This window comes from Homo sapiens, chromosome 5, assembly GCF_000001405.40.
Source record: "Homo sapiens chromosome 5, GRCh38.p14 Primary Assembly".
Classification (NCBI taxonomy): domain Eukaryota; kingdom Metazoa; phylum Chordata; class Mammalia; order Primates; family Hominidae; genus Homo; species Homo sapiens.
Window position 1 is genome coordinate 133,925,617 of NC_000005.10, and position 28,000 is coordinate 133,953,616.

The window sequence follows — 28,000 nt, forward strand, 5'->3', positions numbered from 1 at the left end:
CAGCATGGGATTTTTGCCTGTTTTATTCACTGCTATTTCCCAGGCACTTGGACAGCACCTGCCATGTAGAAGGTGCTCAATAGGCGTTTACTGGCTTGGCCAGGCCTAGGTCTAATGCACTCCCGAAGGTGGGTTGGTATAGGTAGAGGGCCCCCAAACCATACAGCCTGAAAGGGATGGAGGGGAGGGTCCCCAAGGCAGGGCCTGCTCTGAACCATGTGGCAGAGTAGGACTCCATCTCCAGGGTGGACTGCCCCCATCCCCACCCTCAGGGGCCCCTCCCCAGCCTGGCCTTCCTTGGAATTCTCCGACCCTGACCCACTGGTACTGAGCAAGGGGTTTGGAATTTGGAGCTGCAGGACCAGACTGTGTGACCTGGAGCCGATGAACCTCCGCTTCCTGCAAGCTGAACTCTCACATTGTCTTAGTCAGCTCAGGCTGCTGTAAAAAAACACCACAGCCTGGGGGCTTAAACAACAGACGCTTGTTTCTCCCAGCTGTGGAGGCTGGGACTCCGAGGAGGCTGCCAGCATGGCCAAGTTCTGAGGAGGCCCTCTTCCTGGTTTGCAGGCTGCTGCCTTCTTGCTGGGTCCTCACATGGCGGAGAGAGGAAGCTCTGGTGTCTCTTCCTCTCCTTACAAGGGCGCTAATCCCATCAGGAGGGCCCCACTCACATGCCCTCCCCTCAACCCTCATCACCTCCCACAGGCTCCACTTCCTAATGCCTTGGCATTGGCGGTTAGCCTCTAACAGATGACTCTGGTGAGGACACAGGCATTTACTCGGTAACTCCCGTCCTGAAGAAAAACTCTGAAGGGAGGTGAAAGTGCTCTGTAAACGCTGAGTCCACGCTCCTGTAGGGTGTATCTGGATGGAAAAAGGTGCACTCGTGCCTAACTCCTCTCTTGATGTGCCGCACATGGCTCCTCTGTGCCTCCGTTACAGTCTGTGGCCCCAGGCCTCCCCACCACTGTTCCTGGCACAGCAGGGTCCCACCCTCTGGCCAAGCGCTCCACAGCACAGCCCGCAGCCCGGCGAGGGACAGCCCCACTCTGGACATAGGCTAAGAGATGGAGAGACGTTGCTGCAGTGTTGAAGCAGATGCTCCTGTGGCCCAGGAAGGCTCACCCGGGTCATAAATCCCAGCCCAATGGTGTCCCCTACCCTCAGAGGCTAGAGAAGTCCTGCCTGAGGAGCCTCGGAGCCACGTGGGTGGGTGCTGGCTGGGCAGATTGTCCCCCAGTGCCTGCTCACAAGGCAGCCTGAGCAGATGAGCCCTTACAAACACTGATTCCATTTCCATACAAATGTCTGTGGTTGTAGCAAATACACGATGGGGAGACAGCAATGTGACATAACAGCCAAGTCAGTTCTGTAGAAGATGCTTCCTGGTGTTTGGGGGGCTTCAGAGAGCTGTGTTAGCCACCTGTCAGGAATAGTGAGGGAACCAGATGGAGCTCTTTGGAGAGGCATCAAACAAGTTTGAGATAAATCTGCCTGGAAGGGGTAATGTAATCAGGCTCAGGGAGCTGCGGGTCGGGGTAGGCAGCGCTGTTCAGGAGAAGCAAATAATTAACCACAGACTGTTCCACTCAGCTCCAGGAGGGCAGCTGCCAGCTATGGGAGTTGGCTCCTTCCCCCAGAACGCCCATCCTGCTAGCGACACCCCAGGCACCCACCCCTCTAGAGCCCAGCCATCCTTCCCAAGAGGACCAGCCAGCACAAGAGCCCAGGAGGGTTTTGTTGCCAGGCCTGAGTCTTTAGCAGTGAGGTTTCAGCCCTAGGCCCTTCTCCCCTCCATGCCATCGTCTGAAAATGGTGAATGAGGGTCTTCCTTGTAAGGAAGATACCAAGGAATTGGATGGCATCCAAATTTCCCACTGCAGGATGTTTACTACTAGAAAGGAAAGAAGGAGGGAGAAAGGGAGGGAAGGGGGCGGCCTCCTAAAGTTCAAAACCAGAGGAAAACACAGGACTCGATGAAGTTAAATGGGCCCCCTTCCTGTAGGACTTAGAGATCCTGATAGATGTGTGTGGATCTATCAGGATCCTGATAGATCCTTCCCCTACATCCTCTGTGGGAGGAACAAAAGTTTGCAGATTTTTCACAAAGGATCTTGAGGACCTAGAGTCTTAGGATACATTTTGGAAAATGCTGGATCAGCCGGTTTTCTTTTTCAATGCCATGATTCAAATATAAATTAATAAATACCACTTTTACAGTCCACACTGATCCAGGGCATGGGACATGGACTCCAGGCAGGACAGCAGGGTTCCTGGCCCAGTGCTGTGTCACTATGAGCAAGTTATTTCACTCCACGCAGGCTCCGTTTCCCATCAGTGACACGGTGATCATAACGCCGACTCCAGCACTTTATACCTGTAAAGGTATTCTGGAGAAATTACAGGCACAGGCACTGTGAATATGTGGTTTGGATTCTTCTTCACTTTCAAGGAAAAAAGTGTGTGCCCTCCCTCTCTGTCTCCTTCCACGTGGATTTGAGATTACAGTCAGCACGTGTCTCCGCAAAGCAGCAATCTTTTTCAGATTAATTGATTCGATAAATATTTTCTGAGCACCCACTATGCGCCAAGCACATTCTACGCACTGAGGACACAGCAGTGAACAAAAGGAACAAAATCCCTGTCCTCCTGGGGCTGTGAGCAGACATAATAAACAACCATTTGCATAAAAAATGGACATCGGGGGCCAGGCGTGGTGGCTCATGCTTGTAATCCCAGCACCTTGAGAGGCCGAGGTGGGTGGATCACCTGAGGTCAGGAGTTCAAGACCAGCCTGTCCAACATAGTGAAACCTCATCTCTACTAAAAATACAAAAAATTAGCTGGGCATGGTGGCACGTGCCTGTAATCCCAGCGACTCGGGAGGCTGAGGTGGGAAAAGCTTGAACCCAGGAGGCAGAGTTGCAGTGAGCTGAGATCATGCCACTGCACTCCAGCCTGGGTGACAGAGTGAGACCCTGTCTCAAAAAAAAAAAGGGGGAGGGGGCGGGAATCAACAGCAATAAGATCTGAGCCCTGAAGGGGACTGAAGGATTTTTAAATAATGACAAATAAGAGAAAGGAGGGGAGGATTCAGGCTTCCACTCTGAACCGGGTCACTCAGGTTGCTGTCTGGCTTTGGGGAAGGGGAAGTTCAGCTCCCCGCAAATAAGCTTTTACCCTTGCTCCGGCCTATGCTGGATGAGGCTTTGATGGTGGCAGCTGTGGGTCCCCATGGACCCAGCCGGGTTTCTTCTCCATCAATACAGATGCTGGGGCGCTCCTCCCTCAGCCAGCTGCTCCCTATCTCCAAATTCACTTTGTGAATGAGAGAAAAAGGAAAGAATGTGAGAATCAGGTACTTTCCCCATTCAACTCTGACTCTCTGATTAACTATTTTTATCTTCCAGTTAAAATAGAGAAATAGGGGGTGGTAGAGAGTGATATAGAGTCCCTTGTGCTGATAAACAGACTTAAAATTCTAGTCAGAAACTTTTTAAGATGATTTAAAGGAAATCACTTTCTACTTTCTGGCTTGGACGTACAAAGTCCAATCTCAGTTTTGATCCCATAACACACAGAAACTTCTCAGCCAGACCAGTCCTCACACAGAGGATATGCACTGTCGGGCCCACACAGGCCCCAGAGCCTGACCAAACTGGGGAGGCCCCAGGGACAGACCATTGAGAAGGCCAAGATCACAGACTTAAGGGCCAAGCTTCGAATATGTTTCCTTCTACTTGGACTTTTGGATTGAAAATCCTGTCCTAACCCTTCCTTCCTCTTTTGAGGACATCGTTCCAGCCTCTAGGAATGGAATCTAGTGCCTCCGGGTGGGCCAAGCCCTCCAATTCACCCCCTATATTAGTGTTCATAACCTGGGTGGCTTTAAACAAAAGAAAGGTATTCTCTCAGTTCTGGAGGCCAAGTCCAAAATCACAGTATCTGCAGAACCATGTTCCCTCTGAAGGCTCCAGGTAGAATCAATTCCCTGCGTCTCCTCGCTTCTGGATCTCACCAATCTCCACCTCCATTGTCACATGGCCTTCTTATAAGGACACCAGCCGTTGATTTAGGGCCCACCCTAATCCAGTGTTACCTTATTTTAACAAACCTCATCTGTAAAGACCCTATTTTCAAATAAAGTCACATTCTGAAATAATGGGGCTAAGACTGTAACATGTCTTTTGGATGGCACAGGTCAACCCACGACAGTCCCCATACTGCCTCCAGTATGGGTACACATTCTCCAGCATCATCACAGTCTTACTCTGCTTTTTCCTCATCAGCACCTTAGACTTTGGCTGGAAGAACATTCTGGAAAGACAGGCTCAGGAGCTTTGCAGGCTCCTGGAACTGGGAAGAGTCCAGCGTATGTGGCAACTGGGCATTTGCATGTGTCACCCACAGTCTGGATCTCTCTCCTCAGCACATCCGTGGGTCCCCACTCCGCTGAGAGACCGTGGGAGGCGTTCTGGAAGCACTACACGGTGCCTCCTCTCTTCTGAGGTAGCTCAGGCAGGGCCTTGGGCCTGTAAAGCTCTGCTGGCCACATTGGCCTCCTTACCAAGAGAAATGTTTCCAGTGGCTCTGAGCCCAGCAGTGAGTCACAGCAGGGTCCCCCACCAGCAAATGTGCTGTTCCAGCTCCAATGACATTTTGAAGCTCCCTTCTCAAAGTTTCAGATGTGGTGGATGGAGGTGGACAGGAGCTTTGAGCCAAGCGAATGCAGAGGAAGTGTCAGGCTCAACAGTCCTGAATTGGAAGTGTTCAGACACCCACCCGGAAGATGGGGTGTGGAAAACCCAAGCAGCAGAGAAAGTGAAAACGCGAACGGGCATGTGGGAGTCAGCTAGTGACGATATGATTTACGTTTGTGTCAGAGCCGCCGTCCCTGCACTGCGGTGGGTGGTTTGCTTTTGTTTGTTTTAAGTTCCAGCATTGCCACTGACTATGGGATCTTGGGCAAGTAGTTAGCCTCTATCTGTGCCTCAGTTCCCTTGTCTGTCAACCAGGGGCAGAAATACTGTCACCTTAAAGGGTTGTGGGGAAGACTTGAACCCTTCAGGCAGGTAATTCAGGCAGGTAAAGAGAAGGTTAGCTCTAATCTGGCGCACACTACACCCTCGCTAAAGGGACAAGAGCTCTGAAAATGGGTGTTTGTGTCTAACTTTGGAGCTCTGGGTTGGGACACCTCCTTATACCCAAGCTGGGTCTTTGCACAGTGACTCGTGACAAATCACGTTATCAGAGACATACATAAAGACCAATATGCAAGGACGTTTCCAGCAGCATTACTAATAATAGCAAAAAAAAAAAAAAAAAAAAAAAACTGGAAACAACCCAAATAGCCCAAAAAAGGGGAAATGTATGATAGCAGATCCATGCAGGAGAATATTGTGCAGCTATTAAACAAAAGGCAGCAAACAGAACTCTCTCTACAGTGGAACCCTCATCCTGTAAACTGCATATATTCATCACTAAACAGGCAAAATCATGACTGGAGGGAAAGAGACCCGAATGGCAATAGTGCTTCCTCCTGGGTGGTGGGGTTCTGGGTAAGTCTGGTCGTCTTTGCATTCTTCCATATTTTCTAAATTTTCTAAGACGAATTGCTTTTATAGTTAGGGGGAAAAATGAGTAGGTGGTGTTTCATGAGCCACTTTCCAAGGCTGATGAGAAAGCCAGCATTGGTCAGGTTTTAGTGAGGCCTCTTTCCCTCCCTAGGGTCATGCAATATTCTTGGGGGTCCTGTACACAGCAGAACATTCAGGGAAGAGTCTCACATCACCCCTGATGTGACAGCAAGGGTGGGCCTCTGCCAGATACCCCCCTGAGGTCCTGCCAGGTCTTAGCAAGTGCCTAGGCCAGGTGTACCATTCTCTATTGCTTGCGAAACCTGCACACTGAACCACCAGCCCCTTCCCAACTTTAGGAAAAGTGTCCCAAATCTTGCAGTGAGACCAAAACAGATTCATATCCAAATACACTGTCCCCTCACTGGGGTCAGAAAAGTGTGACAAGGACAATGGACCACTGACCACTGCAGGAAGAAGCTCCAGCACCTACAGAATCAGGAAGCGTTGTGGAAAGGCCGAGGGAACCACAGCGTGAGGGCCAGGAAAGCAAGGGTGGGGTCCTGTGCAGCCCCTGAGTCTGGCACTGGGCTCAGAGGAGTAGCGAAGCCCAAGTGGAAGGAGGATACAGAGACTGCTGCGGTTAAGGGCACACTGGAGGGTTTGACCTGTCAGTCTGCAAAGATGGAGACAATGACTCCAAAGGAAACCATGGAGATCTGGAATGTGTGGCCCTGGGCCACATCTCCATCTTTCTTTCTTTTTTTTTTTTTTTTTTTTTTTTTTGCAGAGTCTTGCTCTGTCACCCAGGCTGGAGTGCAGTGGCGCGATCTCGGCTCACTGCAGCCTCCGCCTCCCGGGTTCAAGTAGTTCTTCTGCCTCAGCTTCCTGAGTAGCTGGAATTACAGGCATGCGCCACCACACCCTGCTAATTTTTTGCACTTTTAGTAGAGATGGGGTTTCACCATGTTGGCCAGGCTGGTCTCAAACTCCTGACCTCAAGAGATCCGCCCACCTCCGCCTCCCAAAGTGCTGGGATTACAGGCATGAGCCACCGTGCCCAGCCTGTCTCCATCTTTCTGATGACTCCCCAAGTCCATCCATGAGCCCAGATCTAGGGTTTCGAGGGGAGAAGGGGGACGGAAGATACTCTAGGGCTTCCCACATCCCAGGACCCTGATCCTGCACCTGTCAAGGTCAGTTTGCCCTCTTGGTGGCTGGACCTTGAGACTACTGGCCTGAAGACATTCAGTGTATCTTCATTCAATTCAACGTATTTCTTCTCCATCAGATCAGAAAAATGGAATGGTCCTCTACCAGGAATAAGTTTGATTTGGTTTAAGCACAGCAGGGGCAAGAATGTGCCAGAGAGCTTTAACGTGTCTTCCTGGGCGACCTCCTGGGGCCCTCGCAGTCCCCAACAGCCTCTCCCGAGCTCTCACTGAGCCCTTGACCATGCCGCCATCTGCTCCAGCTCCAGCCTTCTTCCTCTGCCCTGCACTTGAAGCAGGAGCTCTAAGCCCATTAGCTCATTTGTGCTATAAGGCCTAAAATGAAGGCCTACTATGTGCCACCGTGACAACTGGTAAAATTGGGAGGGCCTCGGATGGTCTAACCACAAGTTCCCCCTCCACCTCTGTTCCTGTGGATAAGGTCCTCTGGCCAGACAACCTCCTTATCCGGGAGACCAGATGCAGTTCCTGCTTCTCTCTGAGTTTCAGTTCCCTGCCAGCCCTCAGAACTATTCAGCCAAGTCAACCACGTCCTCCCATGGGCAGCAGGGGCACCTCGCCCTCTTGGTACTACAAAGCCTGCTTCCACAGCCCCAGGTGGTTCACATTGCTCCTGAGTGTGACTCCCCTGTGGCTGGTGTGGAGTGCTGAGTCCTCCCTGGGGCTGTGAGCATATATGACTGATAAACTGCTGTCAACATATCTGTCCAGTGCTGGGTGTCAAGTGTTCACGCATCCCGTAACCATAGGGTGACATCCTCCCGCACTAATGGGGTGAAAAAGAATTGATTAAAGCACCTTAAGTTCTCCCAGTGGTGGGGAGGCTTGGTGGCTGGCCAGGGCTTGCAGAGCCAGTGAGGTAAGACATCCAGCAATGTGTACAAGTGGGAACTGGGCCTAGGGCTCCCTCAGCCTGAGGCTCTATTCCCGAGAAAGGCTTTCCCCATGGGGCTGCCCCAGGCCCAGAGGTCTGGACCACATCCACTTACTTTATCAGGCCTCTTATAGATTAAAAACCAAAGACATACCAAGATGCGGATATAAATCCTGTGGCAGGTTTTAAATGCTTACATTTAACAAATAACTGCTCCTAACATTAAAACCTCACTTGGAACCATCCCCAACATCTAAATATAAAGAGGCAATTGTGAATGTGAGGCTTAGGCCAGGAGGCTCCCTGCCCCCGGCCACCAGGCTGAGCCCCGTGTCTGGAGGGGCAGCATGTGGGCCACACTGCCTGCACCAGGCCTGCCCAACGACCATGCGGCCAGGGCTCCCCTCCCTCCTCACCCCTTCCTTCATTCCTCTTCTTTCCCTGCTCCTCCCTCCTCCTTCTCTATCCACTTCCCTTCCTCCTCCTCATCCCCACTTTCTCCTCCCACCCATCTTTCTCTCTCCCTGTACCCTCCTCCACTGCCTCTCCCCTCCGCTCCCACCCCCGCTCACACATCTGAGCCCTGAAAGCCTGTGGGGACCTTGTGGTCCCAGGTGGGCCCAACTGCTCACTGCTGCCTAACCCTCTCCCTCCCACCTGGGACCTGCTGGGTTGTGGCTTGTCCTAGGGGCGCCAACCTTCCAGATCTGCATGACCAGGTCTTCACTTTAACGCTGCTGGTGTGGTCAGCAAAGCCTGGACTCGTCAGGAAGGGCTTCATGATGCAGGAACTGCGGCGAGTCCTGTACCTTCGCTGTGGCCTCACCTCTGTGTCTCCTGACATCCTGACACAGCCTGGAGCTTTGCCTCCCCACCTGACACTCCCGACACCCTAACAGACCACACTGCCCAGTTGCCCTTGCCCACGAAGGCCTCACCTCTCCACAACCTGCCTTGTAGAGTGTAAGGTGGCCTCTCTGTCCCCTGTGGCCCACTCCGGGTGACTGACACGATGGCACCAACCAGGATCCTGCAGGGCAGGCACCGCCTCTCCTGCCATCCCACTCCTGCCTGGCTAAAGATCACAGCCCAGTGCTCCCAGCTGTATGTCCTCAGGACACCCTGGCGCAAGGTCTGGCTGGCCCTTCCACTTCCTTCAGCTGGACTGAGTTGTGGAGCTTGCCAGATGTTTCCAGAGAGGTGAAGGGAGGTCTCAGCTGTTGGAGTATGGGTGCTTCTAGTTTTAAAGAGGTGTGGGCTCTGCTAAAGTTTCCGTCTTTCATTCAGTCACACTCCCTGCACACCCACGGTGTGCCAGGCCCCATGCTAAGTGCTAGGGATACAGGGAGCAACAGCCAGACAGTGCCCTGTCCTCAGAGCTTTCAATGATGGCAGGCATTCAGCCAGCAATGACAATGATACTCAACAATGAGTATATAATAACTATTAGAATTTGAGGGACACAGGAGTGTACACCAGGGGCTCTGATTTCATCCAAGCCAGGGATGGAATGATAGGGGAAAGCCCATCTGCACAATTTTGGTTGGGATTTGAGGGGCAGATAGAAGAAGCTGGTCAAAAGAGTAAGAAAAGGAGGTCCTGTGGGGTCCTGGCAGGCAAGGGACCCCACAGGGAACCTGGGTTTCATGCATATGAAGTCATGGAAGAAGGCTCCTGTGGCCACAATGTGGTGAGTGGGGGCGGCCAGCAGGCTGAAGTCAGATCCCCCAGGCCTGGGATGCAGACCACTACTTAAGGCTGAATTGCTTCAGGTGGAATCCTGGTGCAGGGTCCCAGGCCTGACCCCAGAGGCTGGCTCCTCCCCAAACTGCCCCCAGCCATGTGCTCTGTTCTTTCATGGTCTCAGAGAAGAAGCTGGTCAGGACAGAGGACCCTGAGGAAGGGCTCTCTGTTTAGACAGCTCCTATCCCACTCCTTCAGGCCAGTCCTGGTCATGCTCAGGACATGGACCAGGAGCAAAGCGCCATGCTCTGCCCCTCCCTGCATGTGCCAGCCCCACTGGTCACACCCCGATGGCCCTTACATACTTACAGCTGTGCCACTGGGTAATTTAGCTCCCAGGGGTATTATATTTAAGGTTTTGTCAACAGGCTATTTATAAAATGCCTCTCAGGCGTGGAGAGGAAGCTCAGAGGGAGTAGGGGATGGGCACACTGCTCCTCCAGAATTATAGAGCTGCTAGAGAACCAGCTAGGACTGCAGAGGCAACAGGAATGTGTATGGTCATCAAGGTGGCTGTGGTCCGAGGACACATGCCCACCATCCTGGCAGCAGGGTGGCAGGTGTATGTGCTGAGACTGGCCTGCACTCAGGCTGTTCTCTGCACTGGCCACCTCAGGCCCCTCGCCCTCCCCATCTTCAGTTGTTCAGATCCCACCATTCTTCAACATTCAGCCAGGATGACCCCTCCTCCCCAAACCCCCACTGATTCTGTGGCTCCTCCTCCAGTACTGTGGCTCCTCCCCTGGTTCTGGGCTCCTCCCCCGGTTCTGTGGCTCCTCCTCTGGTTCTGTGGCTCCTCCTCTGGTTCTGTGGCTCCCCTCCCGGGTTCTGTGGCCCCTGCTCCGGTTCTGTGGCCCCCTCATCAGGTTCTGTGGCCCCTCGTCCAGTTCTGTGGCTCCTCCTCTGGTTCTGTGACTCCTCCTCTGGTTCTGTGGCTCCTCCTCTCGTTCTGTGGCTCCTCCCCTGGTTCTGTGGCTCCTCCTTCGGTTCAGTGTCTCTTCATCCGGTTCTGTGACTCCTCCTCTGGTTCTGTGGCTCCTCCTCCAGTTCTGTGGCTCCTCCTCTGGTTCTGTGACTCCTCCTCTGGTTCTGTGGCTCCTCCTCTTGTTCTGTGGCTCCTCCTCCAGTTCTGTGGCTCCTCCTCCAGTTCTGTGGCTCCTCCTTCAGTTCAGTGGCTCTTCATCCGGTTCTGTGTCTCCTCCTCTGGTTCTGTGGCTCCTCCTCCAGTTCTGTGCCTCCTCCTCTGGTTCTGTGGCTCCTCCCCTGGTTCTGTGGCTCCTCCTCTGGTTCTGTGGCTCCTCCCCTGGTTCTGTGGCTCCTCCTCTGGTTCTGTGGCTCCTCCCCTGGTTCTGTGGCTCCTCCTTCGGTTCAGTGGCTCTTTGTCCGGTTCTGTGTCTCCTCCTCCGGTTCTGTGGCTCCTCCTCCAGTTCTGTGACTCCTCCTCTGGTTCTGTGGCTCCTCCTCCAGTTCTGTGGCTCCTCTTCTGGTTCTGTGGCTCCTCCTCTGGTTCTGTGACTCCTCCTCTGGTTCTGTGGCTCCTCCTCTCGTTCTGTGGCTCCTCCCCTGGTTCTGTGGCTCCTCCTTCGGTTCAGTGGCTCTTCGTCCGGTTCTGTGGCCCCTCCTCTGGTTCTGTGGCCCCTCCTCTGGTTCTGTGGCCCCTCCTCCGGTTCTGTGGCCCCTCCTCTGGTTCTGTGTCTCCTCCTCCAGTTCTGTGGCCCCTCCTCCGGTTCTGTGGCTCCTCATGACCTTGCTGTTATCACAGCTCTACAGCTGGCTCCCACCATGGTTTAGAGAAAGGCCTCAGCTCCACGAGGCAAACAGGCAAGAGCTTTTTTTTGTTTTTTTCCTCTCCCTGAAAATCCCATAATTTGGGGTCACTTTTGGCTCTAAGGATGATGTTATCTTCAGGTATTAAAGAGTCTTATCTAGTCCAGCTAAAATCAAAACTTTATACAGCACTGTGAATATATTATCCTACTGAGCTATACACTTAAAAAAATGATCAGTAGGGTAAATTTTTATCTGTATTTTACCACAATTTAAATTTTTAAAAATCTAAAAACACTTTACTCTCACAAGCAATCTTAGCCTTTTGTCTCCCTCACTCAAGCCTGCACCTCAGCTCAGGGACTGGCAAGGGGGGCCAGTGGGGGTACATTGTTTAATGACATGAGATGAGTGGCTGTACTAGTCAGAGTCCTCCAGAGAAACAGAACCAATAGCAGCCATATATACACATAAAGAGTTTGTGAACATGGCTACTGAGAGATGGCAGACAGATTGAGAGAGAGAGAGACTTCTAAGGAATTGGCTCACATGATTATGGGGTCCGGCAAATCCAAAATCTGTAGAGCTGATGTCCTAGTTTAAGCCCAAAGGCCAGAAGTCGCTGTGGAACCAGGAAAAGCCTATGTTCCAGTTCACAGGCCATCAGGCAGAAGAATTCTTAATTGGGGGAGGGTCAGCGTTTTTGTTTTATTCAGGCCTTCAACTAATTGGATAAGGCCCAACCACGTTAAAAAAGATAACCTGCTTTACTCTGTCTACTACTTAAATGTTATTCTCAGCAAGGTGTGGTGGCACATGCCTGTAATCCCAGCATTTTGGGAGTCTGAGGCAGGTGGATCACTTGAGTCCAGGAGTTCAAGACCAGCTTGGGCAACATGATGAAACTTACATCTCTGCAAAAAATACAAAAATTAGCCAGGCATGGTGGCACGTACCTGTAGTCCCAGCTACTCAGAGGCTGAGGTGGGAGGATCACTTGAGCCTGGGAGGCAGAGGTTGCAGTCAGCTGAGATCGCACCACTGCACTCCAGCCTGGAGGCTGGGCAATGGAGCGAGATCCTATCTCAAAAAGAACAAGGCCAGTCTGGGTAACACAGCAAGACCTCATCTCTAGAAAAATAAAAATAAAAACTTTGTTTGATGTGGTGATGCACATCTGTAGTCCTAGCTGTTTGGGAAGCTGAGGAAGGAGGATCACCTGAGCCCAGGAGTTTCAGGCTGCAGTGAGCTGTGATCATGCCACTGCACTCCAACCTGGGTGACAAAGCAAGACTCTGACTCTTGAAAAAAATAGTAACAAAAAATAAGAAAAGTTATTCTCATCCAAAAACACCCTCACAGAAGCACTCGGAATAATGTCTAACCAAATATCTGGGTGGCATGTGGCCCAGTCAAGTCAACACATAAAATTAACCAACACAGAAGTACAGAGTAGAGACAGTGGGCCCTGCCCTGTTTCCAGCAGCCCTCACTACTGGCTGGTGTCCCTGGGCCTCAACTTCCGCATTTCTTCAGTGAGATAAGGTCTGTGAACCCCTCTGTAAGCTACAAATGTGTGCTGTTGGAGTTGGAGTGAGTTGGAGTTGTTGGAGTTGTTGTTGTTATGATTATTTTAGCGACCTTAGTAAATACCCTGAAGGTTGCTGAGGAACTTGGCAGGGTTCCCACGAGCAGCTGAGGTGGGGGTGGGGGTGGGGTTGAAATAATTGCCAAATACCTTCCTGGAATGTTGATTTCCAAAGGGAATTTATGGTCCCTGGTAGTCATTATTTCAGGGCGACTTATCAGAAAAACTGCCCGCAGCATCATCATAAGCACTTATTCCACAGGAAAGTTGTTTGCAAAACACAACAAACATCAATAATGATGTTCACAGAGCTGTAAATCTTCTAAGCCTGCCTTCCCTTCCTGGGACTAAGACACTTGATTTGGTTCTCCAGGAGCTCAGAAGTTTCCAAATAGATAACAGAATATCAAAGTCCATTAAGCAAGGTAATTTACAATAGTGGCAGGCCAAATTCAGGGAAATACATTAGGGCATTTTCCCATTTGGTTTGTAGAAAAGACATTATTCTAAGCACACAAACAATGAATGCTGTTAGGTGACAATGAGGAAATCTGTTCACTCTCCTAACGAGTTTATTCATCCCCCTCACCATGCAGCACATTAATTTTGAGTGAAAGTTGCACCACCAGATAAGATTCTCAAAGCTCTGACATAAACACCTGAGACCTCATTTCCGACCCATTAAGTAAGCATCACTGGGCATTGTAACAAAGAGAAGCGGGGGCACAAAGGTGACTTCCTTTAGAGCTCTGACTCTTACCTCAAGCTATCCCTGGAGTTATGAAACAAAGAAGCAATTTCAAATTGTGCACTGCAGAAACTTTCAGAGGCCCTGAGAGTGTTTGGGGAGAGGAATAAAATGTAAAGTGATACTAAACATGAAGTGAAATTGCTACATTTTTTTTCATGTTTTAAAAAACAACCAAAGTTTGTTTCCATTCTCTGCTGCTCTCTCCAGGTTGCACTCCCCTTTGCCCCCACCCCACCTCAGAGTGGACTCCATTTCCAGGTGTAGTCAGGAACCGGGTCAGAATGGACCCTCTCACCCATAGAAAAAAATGGGAATTATTCATGCTACTCTGTGGCCCATTCATGGAGCAACCTAAAGAGATGGAAGAGAAACTAACTCACAATTTAGTAGTTATTGAGCTCCTACTATATATCTTTGTTGCAAAGGACAGGAAACCAACTCAAACTAACTTAAGCAAAACAATGAATGTATTGATAATCAGGATCAATCATCCCACTAGTATGGTGATATGGTTTGGATCTGTGTCCCCACCCAAATCTCATGTTGAATTGTAATCCTCCCTGTTGGAGGTGGGGCCTGGTGAGAGGTAACAGGATCATGGGGGGTGAAGTTCCCATGAATGGGTTAGCGCCATTCCCCTTGGTACTGTTCTTGTGATAGTGAGTGAGTTATCGTGAGATCTGGTTGTTTAAGCGTGTGTAGCTCCTCCCCTCTCTCTCTCTGTCTCTCTCTCTCTTCCTCCTGCTCCAGCCACATAAGACATTCCTGCTTCCTCTTTGCCTTCCACTATGATTGTAAGTTTCATGAGGCCTCCCAAGAAGCATAAGCCACTATGCTTCCTGCATGGCCTGCAGAACTCTGAGCCAATTAAACCTCTTTTCTTTATAAGTTATCCAGTCTCAGGTATTTCTTTTCTTTTTTTTTTTTTGAGATGGAGTTTCGCCCTTGTTGCCCAGGCTGGAGTGCAAAGGTGTGATCTTGGCTCACTGCAACCTCCACCTCCCAGGTTCAAGTGATTCTCCTGCCTCAGCCTCCCAAGTAGGTGGGATTACAGGCATGCTCCACCACACCTGGCTAATTTTTGTATTTTTAGTAGAGACAGGATTTCACCATGTTGGTCAGGCTGGTCTCGAACTCCTGACCTCAGGTGATCCACCCACCTCAGCCTCCCAAAGTGCTGAGATTACAGGCGTAAGCCACTGCACCCGACCTCAGGTATTTCTATATAGCAATGCGAAAACTAATACAAATGGTAAACACCATCTGTGCCTGTTAGCAGCCTAACATTAGAGGCTAGGTAGCAGTCTAAACTTCCAATTCTGTGGTGTCATTGTTGTGTTTCCTGGTTTCTCCCTTGAAAACCAAGACTTCCAAACTAGCTGAGTCCAAAGTTGCAAAGTCAGGAAGCAAAAATTATGAGTGTGTTATTAGGTATAGTAGTGAAGGAAGCTTTGCTCACTTTTACCTTCTTGATTCCAGGATCCCTGTATTTTGATGCTATTCTCTAAAATCCTCCCCCCACCCCCTGCCAAGGATGCAATATTGTTTTTAGCTTACTATCCTTGCAGGAAGAGGAAAATTCATAATAGCTCTCAGTCTATAGGTCAGGGAGCTAATGTGATGATTCTGTCAATTGCAGAGTATGTCTATTCCAATTAGATACCTAGAGACTAAGGAAGTATCACAAGAGTGAGTCCATGGGCCCAGTGTGAGATGAAGTTTGGTCAAAACTCCATTTATCAGCTCACCACCATAAACCTTTCCTTTGACTAGTAGACCAAGGGGGTAGTTTGAGTTCCCAGGAATTAGCAAAAATTAAAATCTAGTGTCTAGCGGCCCCTAAAAGGACTGCCTGTTTCCTCATTCCTCAGATCCAGTGTCTGCAGATCCCAGTGGTCAAGGCTTAGGAGTAGTTTTGCAGTATATATATGGATGTATTTGTGGCATTTTGCAGATTTCTTTCTCAAGAAGGCCAAGAACCGTGTTGATCACGTGGTTCCAGGACGTGAACCGGCTTAGGTCTGGGAAAGTGAAGGGGGGACCATGACTGCATTGTGGGGGCCGAAGTTGGCTTCTGGCCACAGATCGTGCTTGTCAGGATGGTTCAGTGTGCTGTCCACCCACTTCAATCCTAGAGGCTCCAGATAAAGCAGCTACCACCAAAGTGCCCCTCCATCAAGACATTCTGATTCCCACACTGGGTATGTGTGCAGTGGGAAAAGGAGGAGGGCAGGAACGGTATTATTTGACTGTTACCGGTGTCACCCAGCATTGCCTTTTTTTGCTCACAACTAACATTTAAGGCGGGTTTTCTCTGGCCTGAACTCTCCCCTCATGGGTGCTTTGTGGATTCTTTGGGAACCCCAAATGGAACACTTGGCTGCAGGTTCCTCTGTGTGGCTGCTGCTTTCCTCCCTCAATCTCCAGGAATTTGGGGGTCCATCTGTCTTCAGGGTCACCTTTCCCTTCTGGGCAGGTTTATGAGGCCAGCCCTTTGCCCCACGTGGCCCATATCTGTAAGAAACACTTACTTATGCATCAGTGGTCTTACTACTGGTAGAAGCACAGTTGGCTCCAAATGTGCCTCACACCTCTCTCTCTCTCGCTCTGTGTGTGTGTGTGTGTGTGTGTGTGTGTGTGTCTCTGTACCCCCTACCCTGTCTCTTCCCTTCCTCTCCTCCCCTTTCTTCTCTTCCCATCTACCCCCTCTGTCTCATGTTTAGAGTCTTCAGGTGAATCTCGGAAAACACGGCCTGTAACCCTGACACTTTGGGAGGCTGAGGCGGGCAGATCGCTTGAGCTCAGGAGTTCAAGCCTAGCCTGGGCAACATAGCGAAACCTTATCTCTACTAAAGGGGGCTGAGGCAGGAGGATCACTTGAGCCCAGGAGGTCAAGGCTACAGTGAGCAGTTATCACACCACTACACTCCAGCCTGGGTGATAGAATGAGACAGTATCTCAAAAAAAAAAAAAAAAAAAGAAAGAAAGAAAGAAAAAGAAAAAAGAAAAGTGGCCAGGCGCAGTGGCTCACACCTGTAATCCCAGCACTTTGGGAGACCAAGGCAGGTGGATCACCTGAGGTCAGGAGTTTGAGACCAGCCTGACCAACATGGTGAAACCCCGTCTCTACAAAAAATACAAAATTAGCCAGTTATGCTGGTAATCCCAGCAACCTGGGAGGCTGAGGCAGGAGAACTGCTTGAACCCAGGAGGTGGAGGTTGCAGTGAGCCGAGATCATACCATTGCACTCCAACCTGAGCAACAAGAGCAAAACTCCATCTCAAAAAAAAAGTTATATTATTTTATATATACTATATTCTATATAGCATCTACCTCATAGGGCTCTTGTGATAATTAAATTGAACAACCCTGGTGAAGAACCTAGTTAAAGTGCTCAAGAAATGGCAGGTATTATTAGTATTCCTATTAATATTATAAACCAGAGCACACAATGGCCCCAGCTGATCTACCAGGTCAGGAATCAGGGAACATTTCCTCCTCAGCTGCATCTCAGGCAGTGAAAGGCAAATCTCTCCAGAGGAGAGGCCCACAGATGCATCTGTGCTTTCCCACCACCATCGCGTGCCCGCCTGCACACAGGCAAGCAGCTTTTTGAGCTTTGGAACTTTACAGGGAGGACTGGATTTGGGATGAGGCCTGGGGTCGGGGAGCAAGAGGCCTGGAGCAGGGGCATTGGCCTCCAGCACACAGACATTTTCCAGTTTGCAAAGTTTCCAGCCTAGCAGAAGGAGGGTGGTTGGGGTTGGGGTTGGGGTTGGGGGAGTTGGCAGTCTGAGATGGATTAACATTTTCCTTCCTCGGGGCCTAGAGTAGTGGAGGAATTTGGAGAAGCCGCGAAGATAACTCAGGGCTGCTTTGAACATTTGAACCAAGGGCACTTCTGAAGCCAAGGGGTTGGGCGGCAGCATTGATTTTTAAGTTCATCACAGCTACAGCCTCAGATGTGGACTGTGCTGAGGGACCCAGGATCTGAACTCCTCACGGAGGCTGGTAGAAGAAATCTCCCAGGCTGTCTTTGCTGGGGACCATAACCAAAACTCTCTCCCCAAGATTTAAAAAAAAAAAATTCAGCCCTCAGAGTCCCAAGCAGGCCCTGGGGCTGTCACGAATTTCTGTGTAGTCCTTTCTGTGAAGTTCTTGGCTCTTCCCCAAGCCATGAAACCACTCCCAGAACTGGGTCAACAGAAATCATCCAGAGCAGAGAGCCAGCCACTACCTTACCTACTCAGGAGGCTCTGCAGAGGGCCAGGGCAGTCGGAGCCCTGTCCCACCAACAGTCTTGCTGTGGGACAACCATGTCCCACCAGCAGTCTTGCTCCCTTCTCCTTCGGCATTATACCCAGGGTGTGACTGGCTCCCAGCCTATGGGAAAGATGGAACTTTTTCACGGGTTTCTGGCTGAGAAGCTGCAGACATCCGAGGGACGTGCCTTCTGAGCCAGCTGCCCCAAATGGCCAAGCAGTCTCTCAACAGCAGTGCCCATTAGCTAATGCATATAACACATCTGGGGATGGGTGCACCCCATCTGTACTTCCCACCAAATGGCTCTCAGGTTGAGGAACCGTCTGTGTATCTCTAAGGAGGCATGTTGCCAAGGACCCTACCGTGGTACCAGCATTGTCCACTGAGGCCGAAGCCATTTCTCCAAGTTCATGCCTGCCCTTTGCCCTTGGAGGAGTCAGTGGAGCTGGGGACTGAACAACAAAGGACTTCAGGTTGGGACTAATGGACCTGCAGGTGCCCTGAGATTGGGGGAGTTATGACAATCGTACTTTCTTTTCTTCTTAATTTATTTTTATTTTATTTATTTTTATTTATTTATTTATTTATTTATTTTTTGAGACGGAGTCTTGCACTGTCGCCCAGGCTAGAGTGCAGTGGTATGATCTCAGCTCACTGCAACCTCTGCCTCCCAGGTTCAACCAATTCTCCTGCCTTAGCCTCCCAAGTAGCTGGGATTACAGGCATGCTCCACCACACCTGGCTAATTTTTGTATTTTTAGTAGAGACAGGATTTCACCATGTTGGTCAGGCTGGTCTCGAACTCCTGACCTCAGGTGATCCACCCACCTCAGCCTCCCAAAGTGCTGAGATTACAGGCGTGAGCCACCGCGCCTGGCCGATAATCATGCTTTCTTTTGCCCTCACTGTCGGAGATTTGGACTTACTGCCAGAAGCATCCTTCCAGCATCCAGCAGAAACTCGAAGATGCTTTTTCCTGAGAACCCAGGTAAAGAAGGAGGTCCCCTTTATGGTGTAGTCACACTACCCCCTGCTGGACAGAAGGCAGCATGGCGATGAGGGCCTGCAGTGCCCAGCATCCATGGATATTTGCCAAGTGTCGTGGGCAAGGTATTAGACACACAGTAAGCACTCAGTAACAGTCACTTATTGTTATCGTTTAGTTGCTGTTGTTGTCATAGAGTGAGGACCACCACAGAAGATCAGAGAAAGAAGTTACTGTGAGGCAGAGGGTCGCTATCGCCTTCTGGGCTCTGCCTCTGGCTGTCTATCCCAGGGGAGATGTACGCAGAGCTCTTGAGGGGAAGAAGCTGCTTATGGGCCATCATCACCTACAAGGGCACCTCCCACTTCCACAGACGGGCTCCGATCACCTGGGCCCCAAACGCCCTTGAACTAGCCTCTGTGTTGCCAAGTTCTTTCTGCCCGTGTTCCCTGAGCAGACCCTCTGCAACCTCAGCTGGTCCCCGCACTGCAAACATTTGCTGATCTATTCAGCTCAATTTAAGCTGCAGCAGACCGAAACCTCAAGTGAGCTAACATGACCTTGCTGTTTTCATTTTCATCGAGATAAGAAAATGCCAAGATAAGTAATTGTCAGAGTTAATAATTTAAAAATGCAATAGACCTTGTAATTAAAAATAAGCTGAAGGAGGCCACAAAGTGATTGTAATAATGTTTCAAGGGCCAATCACACAAAACCCTCCTCTGGCTGTGCCAGGAGAGCTGGAAGGAAAGAATCAAACTCTTGGAGGCTCTGAGCAGTTTATGTACCAGGAAAATCCTTTTCTTAAAATCTGGTCCATCAGAAAGCTTTGGATACATTTATCCAATACTGGCCACACCTTCATGAATTTTCCCTACTTATTCATGTATCTTTTCGTTTGTTTGTTTGTTTGAGACAGAGTCACACTCCGTCACCCAGGCTGGAGTGCAGTGGCCCGATCTCTGCTCACTGCAACCTCCGCCTCCCGGGTTAAAGCGATTCTCCAGCCTCAGCTTCCCAAGTAGCTGGGATTATAGGCACCCACCACCGCACCTGACTAATTTTTTGTATTTTTAGTAGAGATGGGGTTTCACCATGTTGGCCAGGCTGGTCTTGAACTCCTGACCTCAGGCGATCCACCCGCCTCAGCTTCTCAAAGTGCTGGGGTAACAGGCGTGAGCCACAGTGCCCGGCTATTCATGTATCTTTTATCAGAAGTAATTATGGACTCCCTTTCTCCCTGGCCTAACTGGAATCTGTGGACTCTGTGGCATGCTATGTTTTCTGGTTGGAATGGGATTACTGAGTCAGGAAGCTATACCCTTCTGGTACATTCCCAAAGAATCTAACACATCACTTTGAAGCCTCAGTCCCCTCCCTCTCTGGTGAGCCTTGGCGTGTTATCAAATGGTTTCCTTGTTTCATGCAGAAGGGCTGATGAGGAAAACACTGTGCCCTTCATTGATTGGCATTCATACTTGCTCTACTGAGAGAGCAAAGAGGCCTTATACCATCACCCAGGAAGGTTGCAGCTCCCATTTCTGATGGCCACTCAGTTGGTAGCAGATCAGGCTTCCCTCTGCCTTCTTAGCTTCCAGGGCAGGATACAGCTTCCCAACTCAGTAATCCCTTTCCAACTGAAAACTTAGAATGCCACAGCATTCACAGATTTCCACTTAGAGAACCTCCTCTACAGTGTATTTTCCAGACCCAATTGTTTTATTTTTAAATCCACAAACTTTTATTATTTCATTGTAACTAATTCTGACCATCATATCATAGACTTTTCCTCCCTTAAAACACACACACACACACACACACACACACACACACACACACACACACCTGGGTTTCCTCAAAAATCTAAGCCTGTCCATGGAAGGAACATCATCATCCTGCCAGTGACAATGGATACAAGGCAGAAAAGGACTCTGCAAGCTGGTGGGAGGGCAGAGAGAGGGGATGGTGGAATCAGGACAAGATATGGTCAAGGGTGTGTCCAGGCACACCATCCTACCTGGCCTCAAGGTATTATCCACCAATGTGGTCAAGCGAACCCCAAAAAACCAGACCCAGTAACCAAGGTAGCTCTGCCTGCTTCCCTTGTTCATGACCTTAGGCCCCAAAGCCAGAGGGCTCACAAGAACATGACCAAGAAAGGAAGTCAGAGGTATATTTATAAAACTAACAAAAGGAAGCCCAGAAATCATCTTTGGAAACCTAGGAAGTCTCTGGAATCTTAGAACCTGCAGAGACCTCCCCTTCAACAGAAACGGAATTTTCAGAGAAAACATCAAGACTTTAGGGAGGTAGATTCACTTATCCAAAGAACATACAGACCCCATAAATGTTCACCCTGGCCAACAGTCTCCCTGCTCAGGGCACCTGAAACAGAACTACCACATTTCTACCCATCACAAACCCAACCACAGACTATGGGTGCCAGAAGGGCAAGAAGGGAGGGTCCAGCCCCTAGAGTAACCCAGTGATGGATCCCAAAGGGCCATACCTGATCCTATAATGTGAAATTGGTGTCCTCAAGCTCAGACATCTGTTTCTGGGAGAGAAGAGGAAAAGGAGAGGATCAGAAGGAGTCCTCAGGCTTCCAAAAAGGATAGAAGTGTGTTCTTATCTTCCACTATGGAAATACAATTGGGTCTGGGTTCTTGAGAGCCTGTGGATGGGTTAGGCAAGGCCAGGGGTCCCCCTCCAAGCAATGCTCCTGAGCTCCAAAATGAAATCTCTGGGTTCCTTTCCAAAATATGAACTTGATTTGTATGTTCTTTTCTTCAAACGTGGAAAAGATGAGCTCACTGCAATATTTTTTCTCAATTTTCTTTGGAACCAAGATTTGACCCCAGGAGCCAATCCAAGCATCATGTGTTTGGTGAACCTTTCCCTTGCCCTGTATCCCCAAAACTCAGCACAGGGCCTGGCTCAGTACAGGCAATCACTAGATGTCTATTGAATGAATGAGTTGCTTGTGGGCTCCTAGAGCAGAGTGAGACACCAAGCTTCACATTCTTTATAGGCATAGCATATCTCAGGGTAACTTTCCTGTGCTGGTGTTTCATTTGGCCATGCCTCCTTCCTAATGGGCTGAAAGACATGCCTTGTGTGTCTCCCGCTGTTGGAACAGTGTTTACTACATGGCTTTCTGCCTACAGGCCCAAGGCCAACAATCTAGCCCATGAGTTAATGACTTTCAGCAGCAAAGAAGCCCAGTAGACCTTTGAAACGGTCTACTACTCTCAACCAGGCAGCAGGGCAACCTTAACTTTTTCACTGTAAAAGGGCAGACTAATATAGGCAGAACTGGATTTGTAATAAGAAATGAACACACTCTATCTGGTGGTAACGGTAAGATGAATCATTTCCAGGATCCGAGAAAATCTTACGCCAGTGTTTATGTAGTAGAAGCTCCTTCATTTGGAGTCTGCTAAAGGCAGGGGGTTGCAAGACATTACAGCTATGCACTTACAGAGCCTAACAAGTAGTTGCCATACTGCTCATAGAGACCTGACAAAGGGTCAGAGAAAGTGGCTAGCTCTGCCTGGCGTCTGTCTCAACATCTTTGCCAACACATGCTTCACTTCATCAAGAAAGAAAGAGGGAAACTTCTGCTTCCAGCTATGATGGAGTAGTTGGTACCAGTCTAGCCCTCCCACCACGTGTTAGTTTGCTATTGCTATAAAGGAATACCTGAGGCTGGGTAATTTATAAAGAAAAGAGTTTTACTTTGGCTTATGGTTCTGCAGGCTGAACACGAAGCATGGTGCCAGCATCTGCTTCTGGTAAGGGCCTCCGGATGCTTATAATCATGGCAGAAAGCAAGTGGGGAGCAGGTGCATCACATGACAAGAGAGGGAACAAGGGTGGGAGGAGGTGCCAGGCTCCTTTAAACAACCAGCTCTTGCATGAACTAACAGAGCAAGAATGCGTTCATTACCATGGGGAGGGCATCAAGCCATTCATGAGGGACCTGCCTCCAAGACCCAAACATCTCCCACCAGGCCCCATCTCCAACACTGAGGATCACATTTCAACATTAGATTTGGAGAGTCAAACTATATCAGGCCAGGCACAGGGGCTCACGCCTGTAATCTCAGCACTTTGGGAGGCCAAGGTCGGGGGATCACTTGAGGTCAGGAGTTCAAGATCAGCCAAGGCAACATGGCGAAACGCTGTCTCTACTAAAAATACAAAAATTAGATGGGCAGTAGTGGTGTGCCCCTGTAATCCCAGCTACTCTGGAGGCTGAGGCAAGAGAATCACTTGAGCCTAGGAGGCAGAGATTGCGGTGAGCCGAGATCACGCCACTGCACTTCAGCCTGGGTGACAGAGGGAGACTCCATCTCAAAAAAAAAGAAAGAAGTTATCATTGATAGAACCTGGGTAAAGTGTACATAGGACCCCTGTATTATTTCTTCCAACTGCATGTGAATCTACAGTTTATCTCAAAGTAAAAAGGTTATATATACTCATAATATTTTATATGTTAATTATTAAATATTAAAATATATGATTAATATATTAAAATGTTTATAATATTAAATTCATATATAGCTAGATCAATATCTGGAAACACCACCAACATCCATTAACAGGAGAATGGATAAACAAATTTTGGTTTATTCACTCAATGAATACTACTCAGTGTTATTGATGAATCTCAGCAATAAAAAGGAATGACTATTGATAATTCAACAATATAGATGAATCTAAAAATTAAAAGCAAAAATATTATATAGACCAAAAGAAGCTAGACAGAAAAGAACATACACTTTTGATTCTATCTATCTGAAATTCTAGAACAGGCAGAACTAATCTATTGTGATAGAAATCAGAAAGTAGTTACCTCTGGAAGATGGGTGAAGAATTGCCTAGAAAATGGCACTAGGGAATTTTCTGGAGTGATGGAAATATCTTTTATCTTGTTTGGGGGTGGCAGTTACAAAGATATATACAGTTGTCAAAACTGATTAAATGTTTAAAATCTATGAATTTATGTATGTAAAGTATACCTCAATAAAACAGAGCTGTAATTTCCTCAAAAAAAAATAACTGTTCATGAAAAGATACCATTCTGAAAGTGACAAGGCAAGTCACAGCATACAAGTGGCTGTTTATCGCATATAGAACTAATGAGGGCTTATATCCGGAACAGAGAACTCACACAAATAAGAAAAAGACAAACACCCCAATGGAAAAATAAGCAAGTGACTTAAACAAGCACATCACAAAAGAAGATATGCAAATGTCCAATCAACACATGAAAAATTATCAATATGATTAGTCATCAGGGAAAGACAAAGTCAAACCACAAGGAGAGGCCACTGCATATCCACCAGAATAGCTGAAATTAAGAACACTAACAATGCCAAGTGTTAGCAAAGATGCAGAGAGCAACAGGAACTTGCACAGGCTGGAAGAAATATAAATCGGGCCAGGTGCAGTGGCTCATGCCTGTAATCCCAGCACTTTGGGATGCTGAGGCGGATGGATCACTTGGGCTCAGGAGTTTGAGACCAGCCTGGGCAACATGCTGAAACTCTGTCTCTAATAAAAATACAAAAATTAGCTGGGCATGGTGGCACACACCTGTAGCCCTAGCTACTCGGGAGGCTGAAGGAGGAGAATTGCTTGAACCCAGGAGGTGGAGGTTGCCGTGAGCTGATATCACACCACTGCACTCCAGCCTAGGCAATAGAGTGAGACTCCGTCTCAAAAAAAATTTTTTAAAGAAATATAAATTGGTCCAATCACCTTAGAAAATTGTACGACATTAGCTATTCAAGCTGGACATACACATCCAGCAATTCCACTCAAGTATATACCCACCAGAGATGGAAATACCCCTGCAAACAAGAAAAGACATGTGTAAGAATATTCCTAACAGTATCACCCATAATAGTATGAAACTAGAAACAACTCAAATGTCCATCAAATGTGGGTTAGATAAGCACAGTGAGTATATTTTTATAATAGAATACAATGTAGCTATGAAAATGACTGAACTGATGCTACACACTCAACTACCATGATGAAACCCACAATCTAATGTTGAGTGAAAACAGCCAGCACAAACATGTATAATGCATGCAGTGTGATGCAATTTATCTAAAATTCCAAAACCTACTAAACGATGGTTTTACACATATATGCTTAGATAGTAAATCTAAAAAGCAGAGTGAAAAAATAATTGCCATAAAGATCAAAATGATAATTCCTTGTGGGGGAGACTGAAGGTAATAATTAGGAAGTGAGGATTGGGGGTGCTGGCAAAATTCTATTTCTCTACCTGAGCAGTGGCTAAACAGTGTTTACTTTATAATAATTTGTTAAGCTGTACATTTGTTTGATGTATTTTTCTGTAGTGTGCTATGTCATAACATAATAAAAGAAAGTTTAAAAGAAAAAAAGGAGAATACACACAAATGTTGAGGGCCTAAGGGTAGAGAACCTTTGAATAATTTCTTTTTCTTACCTTCTGTAGCTGTTTCATTTTCTAGAGTTATGGGGAATTAGTGATAGAGAGCAGGGAGTATGGAAACAGACCATGCCTTAATTCAAATCCCAGCTCTCTCTCATCAGCTCCATGACCTTGCGCAACTTGCTTAAACTTTCCATGCTCCTGGCTCCTTATCTGTAAAATGAGGATAATAATAGTAACTGCCTTATTGGGTTGGTTGCACACACAGAAATGGCAAATACTCAATCCGTAGTAAGCCCTGTGTTAGCTGTTATCAGAATGTCTAAATTACCTTTATAAGGAAAAAAAAGTAAAATGCAGTTTTCAGCCTATAGCATTCATCACACTTCACTATGATTCTTTTTCTTCTCTACCTGACAGTGGGCACCACAAGGGCAGAGACAGCATTTGCCTTGAACCACTCTGTCTTCCCAGCACGCAGCACAGGGCCTGAGTAGAAGAAGTCCAGGTGTTTTCCTTTTAATGCAGTGCCATGGTCATAGTAGAGTGTGGACCCCTGAGAGTGACCCTCCACGGCCCAAGCCCTGCCTCCATCCATGCTCCCTGAGGCGAGGCTGAGGCATACATACCGTGTAGCCTAAAAGTAGCCACCTCTCTGGGGTCCTCGGTCCCCTTGCCTCTCTGCTGTCTATTCTTGGGAACAGTCCAGGGAATGATGGGAAGGGCCCCTTGGCCTCTTTATTGGGAAAGGATGAGGCTGGAGAACAGGGAATGGGGTTGAGAGGCTCCAAAGGAGACCCACCTATTCCCTAATAGGACCATGCATGCCTGGATGGTTCAGGAGAAACCCAGCTCTGACCAGCTGTGTGCCTCAAGGTAGTCCCAAGGGGACTAGGGAAGGCAGCCTCAGGACTGTGGGCTATCCCTCCTTGGTGGACTCGAGGCTCAAGCTGGCTCTTCTGTGGTCAGTGACATGGTGAAAACTCCTTCTTATGCACAAAATCCTTCCACAAACATCAATCCATTTACTCTTCCTAACAGACTAGCGAGCTAATCAATCACTCATTTTATAAGGTAGGAGACTGCAACAGGCACAGCATGCTCAGACTATGGTCATCCAGCCCTGGCCTCAACCCATACCCTTCTTTCCCTCCATTTCTCCCTAGGTCTGTCTTCCTAGAAGACCAGGTAGGTGCCACATGGGCCAGGATGACCTCAGTCCCAGCAAGGTGCAGGACATTCGAGTTAGCCCTCAAGACCCTTGACCCTTCCTCATTTCCAAGGAACAGTCAGGAAAAATGGCCTGGGGAGGACGCTCAGCCTAGGGGTTAGGCCCAGAGAGGGATTCCAACCCAGGCCTGTATGATTTCATGGCCCATCCTAGCTCTGGCAGGGCCCACTGCAAAGCATGGCCTCCTCAGGTGGGAGTGCTGTCCAATCCACATGCCAAGGGGAGAGAAGCACAAAGGGCCCTATGAGAAGAAAGGCATCCAGGAAGTCAAGGATCCCCAGAACATGGCATCTCTGGGTTTCCCAGCAGAGAAATGAGGCAGTTTTGAGGTTGTGAGAGAAAGAGGCATAGGGTTTCAGAGTGGAACTGTTAGGATAGGTGGAGAAAGGCTTCCTAAGTAAGGAGTAGGGTTTTTTTAATCTAGAGCCTCATTAGATTAAAAAACCCCTCGGCCAGACGCAGTGGCTCACGCCTGTAATCCCAGCACTTTGAGAGGCTGAGGCGGGCAGATCATCTGAGGTCGAGAGTTTGAGACCGGCCTGACCAACATGGAGAAACCCCATCTCTACTAAAAATACAAAATTAGCCAGGCATTGTGGTGCATGCCTATAATCTCAGCTACTTGGGAGGCTGAGGCAGAGGAATTACTTGAACCCGGGAGGCGGAGGTTGTGGTGAGCCGAGATCGTGCCACTGCATTCCAGCCTGGGCAACAAGAGCTAAACTCCATCTCAAAAAAAAAAAAAATCCCTCATGGCATAGGCACTGCATTAAAAGCAAAACACCTGGATTCCTTTTACTCAGGCCCTGTGCTGCGTGCTGGGATGACAGAGTGGTTCAAGCCAGATGCTGTTTCTGCCCCTATGGTGCCCACTGGTACCAGCTAGTACAGATGGGTCTGGGACTCTTTAGGATGGAGTTAGAAGAGAGGTGGGCTTAGACCTCATGGGGTAGAAGCTGCTGCTTACTGGTCCAAAATCAGGCTCCCTTGAGCCACTTAAACAGCCTAGACAGCAGGCCATTACCACAGACGGCTACTGAGATGTGAGTCAGAAACAGCTCCAGCTCTGAGCTCCAGTGGTGCAATTGGTTAGCATGTGGTACTTACACAGAAATAGCCCTGGCTCCATTTCCAGAATCTGTCCCAGCAACTTCCGCTCCTAACGTCGAAATGAAAACAGAATCCAGCTAATTGAAGAGAACCACCCCAAATATCCTGGCTCAAGCTGTGCTGAGTCAGGCCAGACTGACAACCTCAGGACAGCCTTCTTTTCTGTTCCCTTGGAAGACATTTGGTCCTCGAAAGACTTTTAACCTTTTGAACTTCAGCTGGGAAGGATGAACTGCTTCACACTGAACCCAGAAGGGAGGCAAACTGCTGCACCAGCAAACCAGGCTGAAAGAAGGCCAAAGGGCAAAGCCAGCCCTGCTCACCCCACCCCACACACAGGATGGGGGAGAACTGGAACATCGGCAGCAGTGCCGGCAGTGATCTCCTTCACCTTCAACAGGCAGCACCTGCTCTGATGAGAACCTGGGATTTGGAGGAAGGGG

General features: G+C 48.8%; 1 long non-coding RNA gene across 1 annotated transcript, besides 5 other annotated features; it reads right to left on the minus strand.

The window, feature by feature from the left end:
• Nucleotides 1–5: 5 nt before the first annotated feature.
• On the minus strand, nucleotides 6–27,996 carry LOC105379182 (uncharacterized). Its single transcript, XR_948797.3, has 5 exons — nucleotides 27,555–27,996; nucleotides 25,271–25,429; nucleotides 21,293–21,340; nucleotides 3,184–3,321; nucleotides 6–2,393 (listed from the first exon to the last, which is right to left on the minus strand). It is a non-coding gene; the product is annotated as an uncharacterized LOC105379182 (long non-coding RNA).
• Nucleotides 3,075–3,124: an enhancer, noted in NCBI's record as "active region_23106". NCBI's record gives its function as "activates an Ori minimal core promoter by ATAC-STARR-seq in GM12878 lymphoblastoid cells {active_cell/tissue: GM12878}" and the evidence as "EXISTENCE:reporter gene assay evidence [ECO:0000049][PMID:35858748]".
• Nucleotides 4,708–4,857: an enhancer, noted in NCBI's record as "active region_23107". NCBI's record gives its function as "activates an Ori minimal core promoter by ATAC-STARR-seq in GM12878 lymphoblastoid cells {active_cell/tissue: GM12878}" and the evidence as "EXISTENCE:reporter gene assay evidence [ECO:0000049][PMID:35858748]".
• Nucleotides 5,078–5,157: a silencer, noted in NCBI's record as "silent region_16348". NCBI's record gives its function as "represses an Ori minimal core promoter by ATAC-STARR-seq in GM12878 lymphoblastoid cells {active_cell/tissue: GM12878}" and the evidence as "EXISTENCE:reporter gene assay evidence [ECO:0000049][PMID:35858748]".
• Nucleotides 7,552–8,179: an enhancer, noted in NCBI's record as "H3K4me1 hESC enhancer chr5:133268859-133269486 (GRCh37/hg19 assembly coordinates)". NCBI's record gives its function as "activates a minimal SCP1, AML or CMV promoter by ChIP-STARR-seq in naive H9 embryonic stem cells {active_cell/tissue: H9 hESC(naive)}" and the evidence as "EXISTENCE:reporter gene assay evidence [ECO:0000049][PMID:30033119]".
• Nucleotides 7,642–7,701: an enhancer, noted in NCBI's record as "active region_23108". NCBI's record gives its function as "activates an Ori minimal core promoter by ATAC-STARR-seq in GM12878 lymphoblastoid cells {active_cell/tissue: GM12878}" and the evidence as "EXISTENCE:reporter gene assay evidence [ECO:0000049][PMID:35858748]".
• Nucleotides 27,997–28,000: the final 4 nt, after the last annotated feature.